The following is a 17,067-nucleotide window of genomic DNA, read 5'->3' as shown; positions in this document are numbered from 1 at the left end:
TTCATCCAGGGAAGGCAGTAATCTGTTCGTGAAGGATCCACCCACGTATTAGTCTGTTTTTACGCTGCTGATAGACATACCCAAGACTGGAAAGAAAAGGAGGTTTAATTTGATGCACAGTTCCACATGGCTGGGGAAGTCTCTCATAATCATGGCAGAGGGCAAAAGGCACTTCTTACATGGTGGCAGCAAGAAAGAAATGAGGAAGAAGCAAAGGTGGAAACCCCTGATAAACCCCTCAGAACTTGCGAGACTATTACAAAAATATGTTTTAAAAATATATTTGTCTCTACTTTTTCAATACTTGTACTTCAGTACTCTTTGGTGTTGTTTACCTTAGCTAATAAGGTAGAACTTCCAGAACCATATTAAGTAATAGTGCTAACAAGAAATATCTGTGCCTTTTTCTTAACTCTAATTGGACAGTTCCTAATGGCTCACTGCTAAGTATAACGTTTGCTATTTCAAATGGCTACTCTCTTTGTCTGTCTCACAGCCCCCTCAACATCTTTCCAGACTTTTTGGTATCCTGACCCCTGATTACGTTTCTGGGAATATGACCCCATTTGCAGTCAATCTTACTGTCTAGATGAGCACATGACTCAAGCCCACCTAACAAAAAAGCTTCCACAGAATTTTTCAGCTGGACCTTGCAGGGGAAATTCTCTCTAGCCTCTCAAGAAACAGTGCTAGAGGCGTGCAAATCTGAGGTTGCTGGCAGCTATGCTTCATGCCATCATGTTTCATGCTATATGGCAAATCCTTACATTAAATAGGAAAAACTGAGGCTTACCGCAGAGATAAGACAGGGAGAGAGAGAGAGAGAGAGAGAGAGAGAGAGAGACTGAGAGACTGTATTTGTCTCTTGAGCCAACAGGTCTTCTCAGAACTTCACTTCAGGGAATCATTTTTACCTGATTAAAGTAGTGAAGACTCCCAAGATTTGTCTACTGTTTTCTGAATTTTTTCCTTCAGTTTTGTCTCTCAAATATTGTTTCCCGTTTCCTAGAACTCTTTGATGTGCAGTATTTGCCTTTGCATACATCTATTCTCATCATAATCTGGCCTAGTTATCCTTAATCTTACCAGGATATGGGTATTTCTGATGCCATAGAAATATCTCTATAAACTCGATTATTTTTATAAACTTTAACCTGAAGACCTGTTGCCTGTTGGAGCTCTCAGTGACAGAATTACAAATTTTTCATTTTGGAATCTCCCTTAAATTTGACTGACTTCATCCTGTCATTTAAATCTCAAAGCACATGGAGTGATTCACTCTCATATTCATCTGTCCTGGGTTTGAGCCTGGATCTCCACCTGCCAGAAACCTCCAACCTCCCCTGCTAACCAGGTGGATGTATTTTCCTTATCACCTCTACCATCCTTGGAAACCTTGGGCAAGTACTTTAATTTGGTTCAGTTCATCCACCAGTAAAATGAGATCATCATTACTACATTAAACTTTGGAGATGAGAATGAAATGAAATTTTATATATATAAAGCATGTAGTGCAATCCCTGGTGCATAGTTATCATCATAAATAGTTATTATTACCATTATCCATCAAAGGAGTGTTTTTAAATTCTAACTGAACATCATAATCACCTGTGGAACTTTAAAAAAATACAAAATTATCTCTCCACATCTCCTTGGAGTTGGGGCCTTGGTATCTACAGTGTTAGAAAGTCCCATAGATGACTGTAATAAGCAGCTGGGTTGTGCAAAAATTCCTGAGTCAATCATTTCCATCTTTTTGAAGATTCAACTTCCAGAAAGATCTTTCTGTTATTAAGCTAAATTTATCTATTTATTTATTTATTTATTTATTTTGGCCCCAAGGGGAGAAAGATAATCAAATAATCTTTTTTGTTTGTTTGTTTGTTTTTGTTTTTTTCTGAGGTCCTTCAGACACATGACAGGAGCTATTAGCTCTCCCTCTATGTCTTTTCTCCTCTTGGCTAAATATCCTCAGTTTCTTCAACCACTCTTCGGTAACATGGTTTTAAGTCCTTTCATCTTCCTAGCATGCTACACTTCTATGCTTTGACCAAAATGCAGCACTCCAGATTTCTTCCAATTAGTCTCAGTCAGGGAGGCAGAAGGGTTCTATCACTGCCCTAAGTTGACATTTGGTTTGTTGATGCTGAGGAGTTGGAGCAAGTTGCTTTTAACCACCTTTGACTCATATTGTGCTTAATGTCACCTAAAACTCCCCTATTATCATCTACGAAAAGATCCTCATCTCTTTCTTGGCTCCATCTTGCTAAACGGGGTAGTCATGCTTTTAGGTTCATGAGTAAGATCTGATATTCATCTCACTTACATATCCTTTTGTTAGATTCCATTTTTTTCGTCTGTCTCTTAGACTTTATTTGAATCCCAAGTCAATCATTCAATTTAATTACTACAATTCTACAGCATTGTGACATCAATATTGGTAACAATATTGAACAGAGTAGTAATTAGAGTAGAACCTAGTGGCAAACACTAGAAAATACCCTATCTTTTGTTGTTGTTGTTGTTGTTGTATACGTGTCACTAAACTAAGAGACAGACTTTGAGTTAACATATCTGGTTCCAATTCTAGCCTCTCCATTTGTTAATTGCATAATGTGGGGAATGTTCATTAAGTTCCCTATGCCCCGGTGATGTCACCTATAAAATGAAAAGACAATAAAACGCGAATAAAGTAATAATAGTACCTGACTCCTAGAGTTGTTGCGAGGATTCAAGGAGTGATTTATGTAGAGCAGGAAAACACAGCTGGTTATTAGTAAAGTCAGAAAATGTTGGTTAGGGGCATGCGTTTAGATTCAGCTTGTGCTACCACTACCATTCAGAAGGTTTTTGAGCATAAGAAAGTTGTCTACCATCGCTGAACTGCAATATGTCCCCTGTGAAATTGGGATGATAGTCATACCAACATCACAGAGTTACTGTGAGGATTTACACAGGCGGGTGCATGTGAAGCATTTAGCGCAGTAGCTAGTACATAGGAATTCACAAAATTAAGTGTAGCATTGTTGCTGTTATTGTTGTTAGTATTATCATTTAGTTCTTTTTGTCTCCTGTGCGTAGTTCTTTCCACTATTTTATATCATTCAGGCCCCACTTTTCAAAACTGAACTATTTGGCCATTAGTGCCTAAATAAATCTTTGCTGTTTTAAAAGAAATAAAGTTATGGTGTAATACCTTCCAATTTTCATAGCTTTCTTTACAATGGACTTTTTAACATACTACTTAGGATAACATTTCAAAGAGTTAATAAATCTTTGAAGCCTTTTATTTTTCAAGTTGTATTTCATGTGTCTTTTATTACATACAGAAAATTATACTATGACTGCAGAACAGTGATGCTGTGAATTCTGCAGTTCTTGAACTGCCCTTGAAATAAGTTTAAGTCTTCTCGCATTTTTATTGCAGGCTTCTCAAATCAGAAAAAAAAAAAATCAGTGGATTAGAGGACCCTTACCACAACTTCTTATTGACACTTTATCTGAGTGCATATGAGTTATCACACAGATCTCCACTAAACACAAATGAAAGTTCTGAAATGGGGAAATAATGGTTGATGTACTCAATTGCTTGCTGGGATGTGCTTCCCTGAGGCTTGCCAGGTAGGTGGAGAGGAAAATGTTGATGTACCTGTGCTCCCAGCAGCCATGCCTCATGCCTCTGCTTGCTCATTCTCATCTCTGCTCGTGTGGCTAGACTCCCACCTGCAGATCCCTTAGATTCTATTCTCTTCTCAATCATTATTTCCTTGGCTCATGACTCAAGCATGATTGTTATCCTTCTGCTGCAGGGCTCTGTAGACTCTGACCTCAGAAGTCTCTTTCTCTCTCTTTGGCCTTTTCTCACAGATAACCCTATGAATCTGCAATCTTGTTCCCTCTTCTCTCTTCCCATGCCAAGATCCCAGAAGAACTAGCCCCAGATACGTGTAATCTTGAATTCTGTGCACTTTGAGGTTGGCTATCACCTTGAGAACTTGGTAGAAATACAGACAATGAATATCCCAATTCATTAGGTCTTGGGGGATATAGAAATCTGTATAATTAAAAAGCTTCCCAGTTAATCCTGGTGTAGACTCAAGTTTGGAATCTATATTTTACATATAATTACCATATAAGTTTTCCTAAATCATGGTTCAGAAAATGCCAAGTTCCTTCTCAAAATACTTTATTTCCTCAATGTGTACAAATTAAAATCAAAGTTCCAACTTGGTATGTAGGGTCACCATAACTTGGCCTCAACAAATGCTGTTTGCCTTTCTTCCCATTACTCCCCTGTACATATGTACCATAAACTCGAGCCAAATACTGCCCAAAGCATTCCAGAGGCTTGCCAGCCTCCAGGACTTAACAGATGCCTTGCCTTCCACCTGGAACACCCTCCTCCTACCTCCAGCAGCTGTTGAAAACTCTCCCCATCTTTTAAGAGTCAATTCAGACTCTGCATTGGAGTCTTGTCTAACCTTGATCCCTCACCTTTACCCCCAAATAGAAAGTTTATTTATTCAGTCAAAAAGTATTTATTGAGAAGCAACCATATGCCCGGTGATGATGAAAGCACTGATGATACAGTGTCTCATAAAACTGAGATTTCATGTAGCTTACAGTCTAGCAGATATATGCCTTTAAAGCCTTATAGCACTTGGTTTGTGCCTTTCTTACAATGCCAACCTTGTATAATAGTTATTTGTGTGCATGTCCTGTATTCTCTCCCAGACTCTAAGTTCATCTCTATGTGCCCTGCAGCATCTGCCTTGGGGTTATACACATGACTGGTCCTCATCAAAGGGTTATTGGACTGAATTGAATTCTTCCACAGGGATGAACACAGAGTAGATGCTCAACATTGGTTGACATTAGGCACTTCAACTACTGCAGATTGTTCTCTGCAATAGAAAATATGTTTTATGGATACCAAAGCAGAACAAAACAAGCAAAATATTGCTAAATTTCCAAAAATAAATGTGTTTTCCTCAAAGTGTCCTTAAAATTAGGATTTGAAACTAGAATACTTTGAATTACACTTCAGAGGAAGGTACTGAAATAATTACAAACCCTTGTATGATTTATCAGCCACATTGGTGAACTGAGATAAGAGAATATGCCCAAGGTGCACCATGTCAGCTGATTTCTCAGGAAAAAAAGCTCAAGAGTTTTCTTTCTTGAAAACCTCAAGATAGGCAAGCCCAAGAAGAAATAATAGCAATAAAAAACCTTGGAAGTATGTGACTGGCCTCTAAATTCTGCAATAAATGTGCTTTGTTGAACATTAGTGTCAGCATATCATAACGTCAGCTCATTTGATGTGGCACAACTCCCGTAAGTCTTTTTAAAATGTCAAAATACAGGCTATAGTTCTTTTTTTCCTGTGGAGGAAATAGGAAATAGTAATAAATTTCTCTACCATATGTAGGCTGCTGGACAGGTCTGTTTCTAGGCTCCCAGGCTGATTGTCAAGCAGTTGTACCTCCAAGGAACATGAAATGTCATTCCATGGGCATCTAGTGATTGGTCCCCTGGCTTTGCTAAAAGGCAAAAAGGCAAAGTTCCCAGCAACAAGCAGGGAATGGAGGGCAGGGAAAACCCGAGGGAACGCCTCTGCTCTACAGAGGGCTCTGCCTACATGGTGCTTCTGTGCCCAGCATTGTGTTGGGCAAATAGTAGATGCCCAATAAATACTTGCTGACAGGGGGATGTTGAATGAATCCTAGCTTCTTACTGCTGGAATGTACAGAGGCTGTGTCAGATGCTGAAAGGCTACTTTATAAACTTCTGGAGCTTGTCCATAGGAGTATCCAAGTGACGGAGCTTCCAAAGAAGTCAGGAGGAACATGTGCCAATATATATCGCCAACGTTGCTTCTCTAATCTTTTTAAAAAGACTCTATCATTCTAGCAATAGTGTCTCTAGGGCAGGGTATACAACTTATACATCTTGTGTGTCCTCCATAGCCCCTATGAACTTCTGAGCATGCTTATTCTATGCTTCTTGGCTAATTAGGAGTGGGAAGCACAGAGGCAAGAGGAATCTTTGATGTCAATCCCATGGCAAACCCACAAACCTCAAGAGGCTTGGGCCTCCAATGGGGCCCTGGAACAAGGCTGCTGCTTCTGTTCCTTTTCCCACTTTCTTCTCCTCCTCCTTCTCCTGTACAGGTTTACACATCGACTTGATCACAGATAAAGTGTGGAAACCATGCTCAATGGATAATAGAAACTAAACACACATGAGCATCCTTTCCCTCTCTCCTCATAATAGGCTTTCTCTTCCATGGTACTGGGTCCTCTTCCTGCATGATAATGCTGTTTCGGGCTGGCTTCTCTAATGTTTCTTGAAAGCATAGAAGAACACCTTTTTCCACCTTATTTACCCTTTAAAATAACTAACAGGGAAAGTTTTAATTTCTTTTCAAAGACTTCATGTTTCAGTCAAAGAGAAGTCTGAATCTGAGAATATTCAAATGATTCCTTCAGGGTTGGAATGCTCAATGACATTCAAAGTCACATAACACTCTCTGAGAACAGATGTCTCTTTGAGATAGTCCCAAGTACATTCTACTGTTTGATTGTCAGCAAGAATACAAACCTTTCACTCAAACCTGAAGAACTCCCTACTTGAAACTGGTATCCCAAGACAAAACCTCAAAGGGGTCTATTTTCTCAACCGACACTCAACTCTTACCTAATGAGATGATATATTAAATATGCATCATGCATCAAGTTAGGGAAATGGCTCTCCAAATTTATGAAGGCTTAGCAAGGTTAGTGTCACTTTGTGAAAAGACCTTTGGATTAACGGAAAGACCATGCTTGGGTTTCAGCTCTGACAAATCATTTATTGACTATATGACCTAGGGGGCCGGGCATGGTGGATCACGCCTGTACTCCCAGCACTTTGGGAGGCCAAGGCAGATGCATCACTTGAGATAAGAAGTTTGAGACCAACCTGGCTAACATGGTGAAACTCCCGTCTCTACTAAAAATGCAAAAATTAGCCGGGTGTGGTGGTGTGCGCCTGTAGTTCCAGCTACTCGAGAGACTGAGGCAGGAGAATCACTTGAACCCAGGAGGCGGAGGTTGCAGTGAGCTGAGATCATGCCACTGCACTCCAGCCTGGGTGACAGAGTGAGACTCTGTCTGAAAAACAAAACAAAACAAAACAAAAAAACAAACAACTATATGACCTAGGGCTAGTTAATTTACCTGTGTCTAACCCACTTTCTTCAGAGTGAACATGTGTACTACAAATTCCCCTGTATCTTCTGAGGATTTTATGGGTTAATGTATATGAAAATGCTTTGAAATGCTAACCAATTGTAAGGCAATGATTATACTCTGATATTCACAGAGATAAAGCAAATAGTCCCCTAACAGCTGAACTCTTTCAATTCATTCATTCATTCACTTAATCAACAAATGTATGTTGAATGTCTCTCATGTGCCAGGCAGTGTTCTTGGTATTGAGGATGTAGAAGTAAACAAAACAAAGCCCTTTTTCTCATGAAGTTTACATGCTAGTGGGAAGACAATAAGTGCTATGAAGCAAAATAAAGCAGTACTGGGAACAGAACATGATTTGGGTGGGAAAGCATCACATTACCCATAGGGTGGGCAGGGAAGGGTTCTCTGATACAGCAACATTTGGGCAGACCCCTGAAGAAAACAAAGGATAGAGCCAGGAAAATATCTGAATAAGCATCATTTTACATGTAAAGGCCCCAGGAAGGGAGTGTGCTCAAGGCCTTCAAGGTACAAGCAGGAGGTTGGTATGGCAGGAGCCCAGTGGGGGAGGGTCAGAGTGGTTGGGGAAATAGTCTGAGTGGTGGTAGAGAACCAGGAATTGGGCTCTGGAATTGTTCTGGGTGTGATGAAAAAGTACTGGAGACCTTTAAAGAGGGAGAAACACCTCCTGAATTTCTTTTTTTTTTTTTTTGTGACGGAATTTCGCTCTGTCGCCCAGGCTGGAGTGCAGTGGCGCGATCTCGGCTCACTGCCAACTCTGCCTCCCGGGTTCACGCCATTCTCCTGCCTCAGCCTCCTGAGTAGCTGAGACTACAGGCGCCTGCCACCATTCCCAGCTAATTTTTTCTATTTTTCAGTAGAAACGGGGTTTCACCGTGTTAGCCAGGATGGTCTCAATCTCCTGACCTCGTGATCCGCCCGCCTTGGCCTCCCAAAGTGCTGGGATTACAGGCGTGACTGAATTTCTTTTAAAAAGAAACCCTCAACTGAAGGGTTGATCATAGAAAGGAAGAGATAGAAGCAGAGAGACCAGTTAGAAGCATTTTGCAGTAATGCCAGCAAGAATTTATAATTGGGGAGTTGGTGGAGGCAGTGATTCTGAATTATTTTTAATATATTATATATTCTGAATATATTTTTAAGGTAGAGCCAGTAGGATTACTGATGTATCTGGAGTAAAGTGCAGAGAATAAAATGAGTAAGGAATGATTTCAAGTAAAGAGCAGGTTTTATTTTGGGGGGGGAATGGGGAGAGGGGGAATCAAAGAGATCAAACTCAGCTCCTAATATATTTGACATAATTCCTGACCTTGGAAGAACTCACAATCATACGGGTAAGCAAAACTCAAATGAAGAGTGGGAAAAGTTAAACAATATTTAACTGAGAATTAATTTGAAATCTCTCTGTTTAAAAAATTTGTAACAATTTTTCAAGGAAAAAATAAAGCAGTGGTGTTATTTAATGAAATTACCTCCAGGTAATTCATTTAGGCTGTGGGTTAAAATACCCAAGCTGCTGTAATTGTGCAGTTGAGAACCAATTGACCATAGTAGCCACAATAATATAACACAAAACGTTATGTTTCCTAACCCAATTTAGTTTGATAGACCTGGGTTCAAATCATGGCTCCATTACTTATTAACCGTGTGACCTTGAGCAAGTTCCTTATGTGCTCAATGCTTAGTTCCCTCTTCTGTAAACCCTGGATGATAATGCCATCTAGCTCATGGGGCTTTTGTTGAAGATGATGCACGGGTGATACTATATTAAACACATAACTCTCAATAATTGGTTGCTGCTGTTGTTCCCTCCTCTGTAAGGGTCCCCTATGTGCATGACATATCTGCCACACTCATTGGGACTCTTACTATTCAGTGTATTCTTTTCACAGAGATATCTGGTCTCTGCCACAAACTACTCAACAGCGAGAATCATTTTTATATCCTTCACATTCTCTGAGTGCCTGATGCTGTGCTGAGTTCTAGCAGGAGTGGCAGATGCGTTTGCTACTTGATAGGCAGCAATGGGGCATGAGACTCTTTGTTAATTGGCATGCAGCAGTACATTACAGGAACATTTGCTGACTGACCCGCAGCAACACAGTATGGGGTGGAATGCTGCCTGAATTGTAAAGGTGGTGAAGAATGATGAGGACCTCACAGCTGTGCTCTTTCTCACTGTATTAGTTTGGAAGGGCTGCCATAACACAGTGCCACAAACTAGGTGGCTTAAACAACAGAAAGTTATCATCTCCCAGTTCTGGAGGCTAGAAGTCCAAGATCAAGTGTCAGCAAAGTTTGTTCCTTCTAGGGGTTGTGAGACAGAGTATGTTTCATGCCTCTCACCTAGTTTCTAGTGTTTTGCTGGTAACCTATGGCATTCCTCGGATTTTAAAAGCATCTTTGCCTTCATCTTCATATTGTGTTCTTTCTGTGTGTATATCTTGTCCAAATTTCCTATTTGTTATAAGCACATCAGTCATATTGAATAAGGAGCCCACCCTACTCCACTATGACCTCATCTTAACTAATTACATCTGCAACAAGCCTATTTTCAAATACGGTCACATTTTGCGGTCCTGGGGCCTAGGATTTCAACACATAAATGTTGGGGGAACACAAACCCACAACACGCCCATGCCCTGCCATTCTGCATGATTTTCGTGTCGAGGACCTTGACTTTCTCCTGCTCTCCTCTTCTTTGTATTACACATTCAGTTTTCAAACTAGTATTTAATCAGCCCACACTCACAGGTAATGTATGGCAGCTCTCCGTATTCTTACCACTGCTGACTTGCGGGCCTTTTGCTCTGGAAAGGAATGAAATGTGCCACCTTGGGAACACTGCAGATTGTAAAAAACCAACAAAACAACTTATTTGAAGGACTGTTTGATGACCGCCTCATCACATCTCCACTCAAACTGTCTTTGCTTGTGTCTTCTAACCTGCTGACCTTTCCTCTTGGCAAACTCTTTCCAAGAAAGAATGTCTCTCCTCCTCAAAGCTCAGCCCACCTGCAGCACACAATTCTGCATGCTGACCATGCATGGCAATGATCAGCACAGGTACTACCGGGCACGGTTAATGAAGAAGAAAAGTTTTAATTCTAGGGCCATCTCCAAGCCCGTCCCTCCTTCCCATTTATATTTTCAACATATGGTTAGGCTTTTTAGTGTTGCTTTAATGTTTTCTCTTGTATTTAATTATTTAAAAATTTAATAACAAACGCTGAGAATCAATTGCACACCAGGGACACATTTCTTTGAATTCTTGCTATTTTTTCTGCTATTGCATAAAAGTTAATTTAAGTCACTGAAAACTAAAAGCACAAAGCTAAAAGGGGAAAAAAGAGAACAACTTTAAGGCATTCAGGAAAGAATATCTGTAGGTGAAATCAAATTCTCAACAACATCTGATATGTATTTCTTATCAGCAATAGGCAGCAGTGATAACCAAGGAATGCCAAAACAAATAAATTTAATTGCATTTTGTGCCTAATAATATAAAGCCAGAAGCTTACATATCAAAGATTTTCCTTTTGCTTTATATTCCTTTTAGAATTGGTTCTGATGTTAGGGGCAAGGAAATGGAAGTATAAGTATTGTTCCAGTCCTAGTTACAGAAAAAGCTGTTTTTTAAAATATCACTTTAAGAATTTTAAATGGTTTGTTGCTTAATATTTTAGGGTATTCTTTTCACATTTCTAACTATTATTCAGACAAACATTTTTTTTTATTCCACCGCAGTGTGCTGACAACCACAGAAACACATTCATTCATTAACATATGGAACGTATGTGGCACCTCTGCTAGACAGTTGTGCCAGGTACCAAGGATCCCCCAAAAGCAGTAACAACCTGATCCTGCCTTCATTGCCACTTACATCCACCCATGGGAAACAGATTTAACGAAAGAGCAATTGGAATTCATGTGCTCTGATGTGGGAAGTACATGATACTATGGAAGCCCAGAGAAAGGGTACCTAACCCAGATTTTGAAGAAATGAGAAATGCTTCCTGGAAGATGAGACAACTACCCTAAGACCTGCAAAATCAATAGGAGTATGACCTATGAAGTGAGAGAAGAAAGATAAAAATAATGGACATGAGGAAAACTCTACTACTATTTAGCCATTTTCTGTCGTACATTTTAAATAAGAATTAGAAATTAAGCAAGCATTTTACAGATTACTCCAGAAACTGCTCTTCTAAAGGCAAGCTCCACTGAATTTTTCTAGAAAAAAGGAAGCCTCCTGAATTCTCACCAAATAAATGCCTGATACTCTACCTGCTTGCTCCAGCTGACACAGTCAAGAGAAACCTAAGTCCACATCTGCAGACCATGGAGTTCCCTGAACAAAAACCTCTTAAATGCTTGGAATCCCAACTTTCAGACTAGCCAAAGAGTAGTCCAGAAAAGGTCAGAGTAAAGCCAAGAAATTTTTTTTTTACTTTGAACTGAAGGTTCACATCTCTTGAAATTCTTCCCATGCCAGTTTCCTCATACCCTCACTTTTCATGTTCACACGTATTTAAAATGGTGATACTTATTTGAAAATCAAAATGCAATTTAGAAAATATTTACAGAAGAATATAAGCCATCATGGACTTTTTCTAGGTCATATAAAGTTCATTTCAGTTAACTTTGTGGTTTCAAGAAACATATTTTTGAAATAGTTAGAATTTTTTTAGACAGTGAGCAAATAAAGCCCTTCCTTCCTTCCTTCCTTCCTTCCTTCCTTCCTTCCTTCCTTCCTTCCTTCCTTCCTTCCTTCCTTCCTTTTTTCTTTCTTTTTTGACAGAGCCTTGCTCTGTCACCAGGCTGGAGTGCAGTGGCACGATCTTGGCTCATTGCAACCTCCGCCTCCCGGGTTCAAGCGATTCTCCTGCCTCAGCCTCCCGAGTAGCTGGGACTACAGGCACACACCACCACGCCCAGCTAATTTCTGTATTTTTAGTAGAGACGGGGTTTCACCATGTTGGCCAGGATCGTCTCAATCTCTTGACCATATCATCTACCTGCCTCAGCCTCCCAAAGTGCTGGGATTACAGGCATGAGCCACCACGCCCGGTCTAAAGCTTTATTTTTTAATACTCAGTGATGTTCCTCCAGGATTTCATTAATGGAAAAGACAACTATTATTTATGATCCTGAGCACTGTGACAAATCTTACCATCCTATCATATAATGCACCCATTTTGCTGCCAAACAAGACCAAAGAAACAATGTTGTTGGCTTTGCAAAATGTCAGATCATTTTGGAACATGTGCTTTTCATAAACAACATTTATTCTAAAAGAATTTTTTGGTCCAACTACTACATGCCAGGACTTCTTCTAAGAGTATAAAGCTGTAAACAAAAAGACCAAAACCAAACAAAGAGGAAAGCTTATATTTTAGTTGGGGAAGATAAAAAATAAATAAAGCAAATTATATAATGTATTAGAAGGTGATAAGAACTGTGGAGAGAAATAAAGCATGTTAAGGAACGGAGGGCTGGGCTAAGGTTGTTATTTTAAACAAGATGATTGGAAGGTAACACTTAAGTAATGACTTGAAGGAAGAAGGGGAGCAAGCCATGTATTTATCTGCAGGAGCGCTGTTACAGCAGAAGAGATGCTTAATGGAAAGGCCCTGAGCTGGCATGGCATGTTCATGGAACTCCAGGTTCAGTGGCCTGAGTAGAATGAACAAGAGTGATAGGGGCCGATCATGGCCAGGTAGGCCATGGAAGGACATTCCAGCTTTAAAGAGAGAAGGCGTTGCAGGGTTCTGAGTGGAGGAGTGACATGCTCTGACCTCACTCTGGCTGCTGTGTTGAGAATACACCACAGAGTAATGACGATGGACACAGACCAATGAGGAGGCTACTGCAGTGTGACAAGCTAGAGATGCTGGGGGCCTGGGCCAGCGTGAAAGCAGTTGAGGTAATGCCCGTAGGTCAGATTTAGGATGGATTAAAAGGCAGACCCAGTAGCCTTTGCCCATAGCTTGAAGGTAGAGTGTAAGAGGAAAAGAGAAAGCAGTGTTAACTCCTAAGTTTTTGGCCTGAGCAACAGGAAGGGCGAGTTACATTTAACTGAGCTGGATGATGTCAGATAAGGCAGATTTGGGCACATTTTTCTTGGAAGAACAGAAAATATGGCAGTGCACTTTGTTCATATCTCCTTAAAGCTATGCTATAGATTTTAAAACTCTCAAATGTAAAGTTGGTGCTGCTATAAATTGCTATAGATTAAGAGTCCCAACAGCATATTTTATCTGGAAAGCATTTACTGGCAAATTTACCTGCATGGAAAAGTAAAAATAAATAAATAAATAAAAATATATCTCCCCTGACAAAAAAAAAAAAGAGTATTTACTCTTTATTCATAAATGCTGCGCTTCATACAATTTGCCATTGACATTTCTGGCTGGATTAAATGCAGATGTTTTCCTAAACCTATTAATTTCCCTCATCTCTTCTTCTGACATGCATGGATATTGTTAAAGTTTACCGAGGGGTTCAATCCATCCAAGGCTTGGCCCAGACCTGAAATTCAAAGCAGAGGTGTCATATCGCTGGCCTCATCTTTTCATTTGACCTCAATTTTACCATTTTCTGCTCCCAGTAATCCTACACTTTCCTTGAAAAATAAATCTAAGGCACACAAACTCATTTACAATCTTTTCCTCTAATTCCCTTCCCTGGTAACTCATTCATGTTTATTACTCTCTTTGTGTGAAATAGCTCCACCTGAACTATCCATTACTTTTATTCTACAGAATGTTAAAACACCTTCTTCTTTTAGTCCCATGTTAGGTTCATTTCACCAAACTCTCTCATAAATCTGAAAATCAGTATCAACATGATCTTCATCACCATGAAATGGCACAGGTGAACACAAAGTTGATATGTTCTATGATTTACTACAGGACAGAATCAGGAACAAACTGAAAGGAAGCACAATATAACAAAAATTATCTTAAAAATTCCACCCAAGGAATGAGTTGCTTGATGAATCATTGCATTCTCCATCTTTTAAGAGATGAGGCAGCAAGAAGAGTACTATAGAAAGGATCTTGGTGTTAAATAGGGGGTTAAATTATGAATTATTACTAAATTAGCTTTATCAATAATATACTTTTTTATTTTCCTTACAGGGTCACAGAAAGATCATTTGAGATATACATAAAGGGTATAGACCAGAACCTGGCTCAAAATATATTTCATAATTGGTAGTTGACTAGTAATAGAAGTAGCAGCAGAAGTAGTAAGAGTTGTTAGGAAAAAAAGAGAGAAAAGAAAGCACAGAAAAGTAAACAAAAAATTTAAATATCCTGCAATATGTCCACCCAAACAAAAACACTTCATATTTTTGACATTTTCATTGAGATGGATGGATGAATGGATGGGTGAGAAGGAGGGAGGGAGAGAAGAAAAAAAGGAAGGAAGGCAGAAAGAAAGGAACAAAGAAGTAAAGGAGAAATGAAAGAAGGAAGGGAGGAAAGAAGAAAAGGAATAAAGGAAGGAAGGAAAGAAGGAAGGAAGGAAAGGAGGGAGGGAGGGAGGGATAGGATAGGGAAACCACACATTGTTTTGTCGAGTTGAAATATCTGACCTCCACATTTCATGATAGTCTTAGAACTTTTTAATCCCATCTGAATCTGCTGTTACATCCCTTCTCTTTACCCTTGCTTTGTTTGAATTCTGCTATTTGTTTTGATCTCCATTCCATTTCTCTCTGCTTACATATAAAAATTTTTTTCTCATATGTTCTTTGTTTATTGTTTGCTTATTTGTAAGCTTCTTGAGTTCATTATTAGTTATTTTTTGTCAATAAATACCATTATATTTAAGCCTAAACTTTTCTTTCTCCGTATCTCACTCATTTTGATATGTGATGTTAGCATTTCATTTATTTCAGAATTCTTTATAGTTATAGTTTTAATTTTCTCTTGATCCATAGAGATATCCATAAGAACTTTATAGTTTTAAAATACATAGGCTTTGTATACATCATTATTTTAATACCAGTTTTTTTATTTTTGGAAAGTGTGTCCCATTTAAATCTACTTTTAGAAATTATTGTGATTTCTTTATTTTTTATAATACTTTAAGTTCTGGGATACATGTGCAGAACATGCAGGTTTGTTACATAGGTATACAGTGCCGTGGTGGTTTGTTGCACCCATCAACCCGTCATCTACACTAGGTATTTCTCCTAATGCTATCCCTCCCCTACCCCCCCCCACCCCCCGACAGGCCCTGGTGTGTTATGTACCCCTCCCTGTGTCCATGTGTTCTTATTGTTCAACTCCCACTTATGAGTGAGAACATGAGGTGTTTGGTTTTCTGTTCTCTTGTTACTTTGCTGAGAATGATGGTTTCCAGCTTCATCCATGTCCCTGAAAAGGACATGAACTCATCCCTTTATATGGCTGCATAGTATTCCCTGGTGTATATGTGCCACATTTTCTTTATCCAGTCTATCATTGATGTGCATTTGGGTTGGTTGTGATTTCTTTGTGAGGTAGTACATAATTGATTCCATGAGGCCTTGGGCTAAAAAATATGTTTTCATTTTTTGTCCACAAAATTTTATATATATCTATCTTAGAAATCCTTATGTTTACTTTGGTTTTATTTGCTCGATTATTTATGAGCAATATATGTTATACATCTACCAGCTTTATTTACTTTCCTTTTATTTATAACAGGTTTGCTTTGCATGTTTCATTTCTATTTTTTATGAACATAAAGGTTCATTATGGTTATATCTTCTTCAAGAATTCGACCTTATATTATTAGAAGTAGAGTACATTGTCTTAATACTTTTTACCTTAAATTCTATCTAATTTGATATTAATGTCAATTAAATTTTCCGTGAGCATTTGCTTTATATCCTGTTTTCATTTTCTTTGTCATTTTGGGTCTTACCTTTTTTTAAGCTCTATCTGATGACATTTATATTTTAATAGAGAAATTTAACCCATTCTTTAATATTTTGCCTGAAGATGTTCAGTCTGATTCCGCCATCAGCATTTGTTTTCTGTTCCCCATGTTGTTGCTACTCTTTCTCCTTCTTCTTCCATTCCTCACTATTGCCTTACTTTCCACTCTAGTAAAATAAGAGTTGTACCTCTAATTTCAATCCTACCAATATTATTGTCAAAATTGTTATAAATTTACTTGAAAGGTATTTTTGCATGTAGGTCAGAAATTTAACAATATCCACCTTTGTTTAAAATTTTCCTACTTTCAGGTTTTGGTGTAATAAAGTGGAATTTAATCTATGTATTAACTTACAGATCACGTTTTTAATTATTTAGAATTAACTATAAGCTTTGCTGGCTTATTTATTCACCACTTTTCCCTTGTACCCCAGGCTATTCCATTTTTCTGTTGGTTTTTCATTTTTCTGTAATAGATCATTAAGTAAATTTTTCTTTTTTCTTTTTTTTTTTCTTTTTTTTTTTGAGATGGAGTCTCGCTCTGTTGCCCAGGCTGGAGTGCAGTGGCACAATCTCAGCTCACTGCAAACTCCACTTCCCGGGTTCACACCATTCTCCTGCCTCAGCCTCCCGATTAGCTGGGACTACAGGCGCCCGCCACCTCGCTCGGCTAATTTTTTGTATTTTTAGTAGAAACGGGGTTTCACCTTGTTAGCCAGGATGGTCTCTATCTCCTGACCTCATGATCCGCCCGCCTCGGACTCCCAAAGTGCTGGGATTACGGGCGTGAGCCACCACGACTGGCCCCGTAAATTTTTCAAAAAAGAAATCAGTGATAAATTTTGAGGACTCTCATTTTGCCTTAGCACTTGAAT

At 39.0% G+C, this 17,067-nt stretch overlaps 2 long non-coding RNA genes across 2 annotated transcripts in view; one reads left to right on the top strand and one right to left on the bottom strand.

The window, feature by feature from the left end:
* Positions 1–17,067, top strand: part of LINC02388 (long intergenic non-protein coding RNA 2388) — a 215,758-nt gene that overhangs the window by 161,161 nt on the left and 37,530 nt on the right. Inside the window, exons 2-3 of the long non-coding RNA NR_120452.1 lie at positions 3,428–3,621; positions 11,007–11,678. This is a non-coding gene — a long non-coding RNA (long intergenic non-protein coding RNA 2388). The remainder of the gene's footprint in view (positions 1–3,427; positions 3,622–11,006; positions 11,679–17,067) is intronic.
* Positions 1–17,067, bottom strand: part of LOC100506869 (uncharacterized) — a 220,968-nt gene that overhangs the window by 192,114 nt on the left and 11,787 nt on the right. The gene's annotated exons all lie outside the window — the stretch shown is intronic.

Source organism: Homo sapiens, chromosome 12 (assembly GCF_000001405.40).
Source record: "Homo sapiens chromosome 12, GRCh38.p14 Primary Assembly".
NCBI classification, from domain to species: domain Eukaryota; kingdom Metazoa; phylum Chordata; class Mammalia; order Primates; family Hominidae; genus Homo; species Homo sapiens.
Note: the sequence above shows the minus strand (reverse complement) of the source record. Positions and strands in the feature narration are given on the sequence as shown.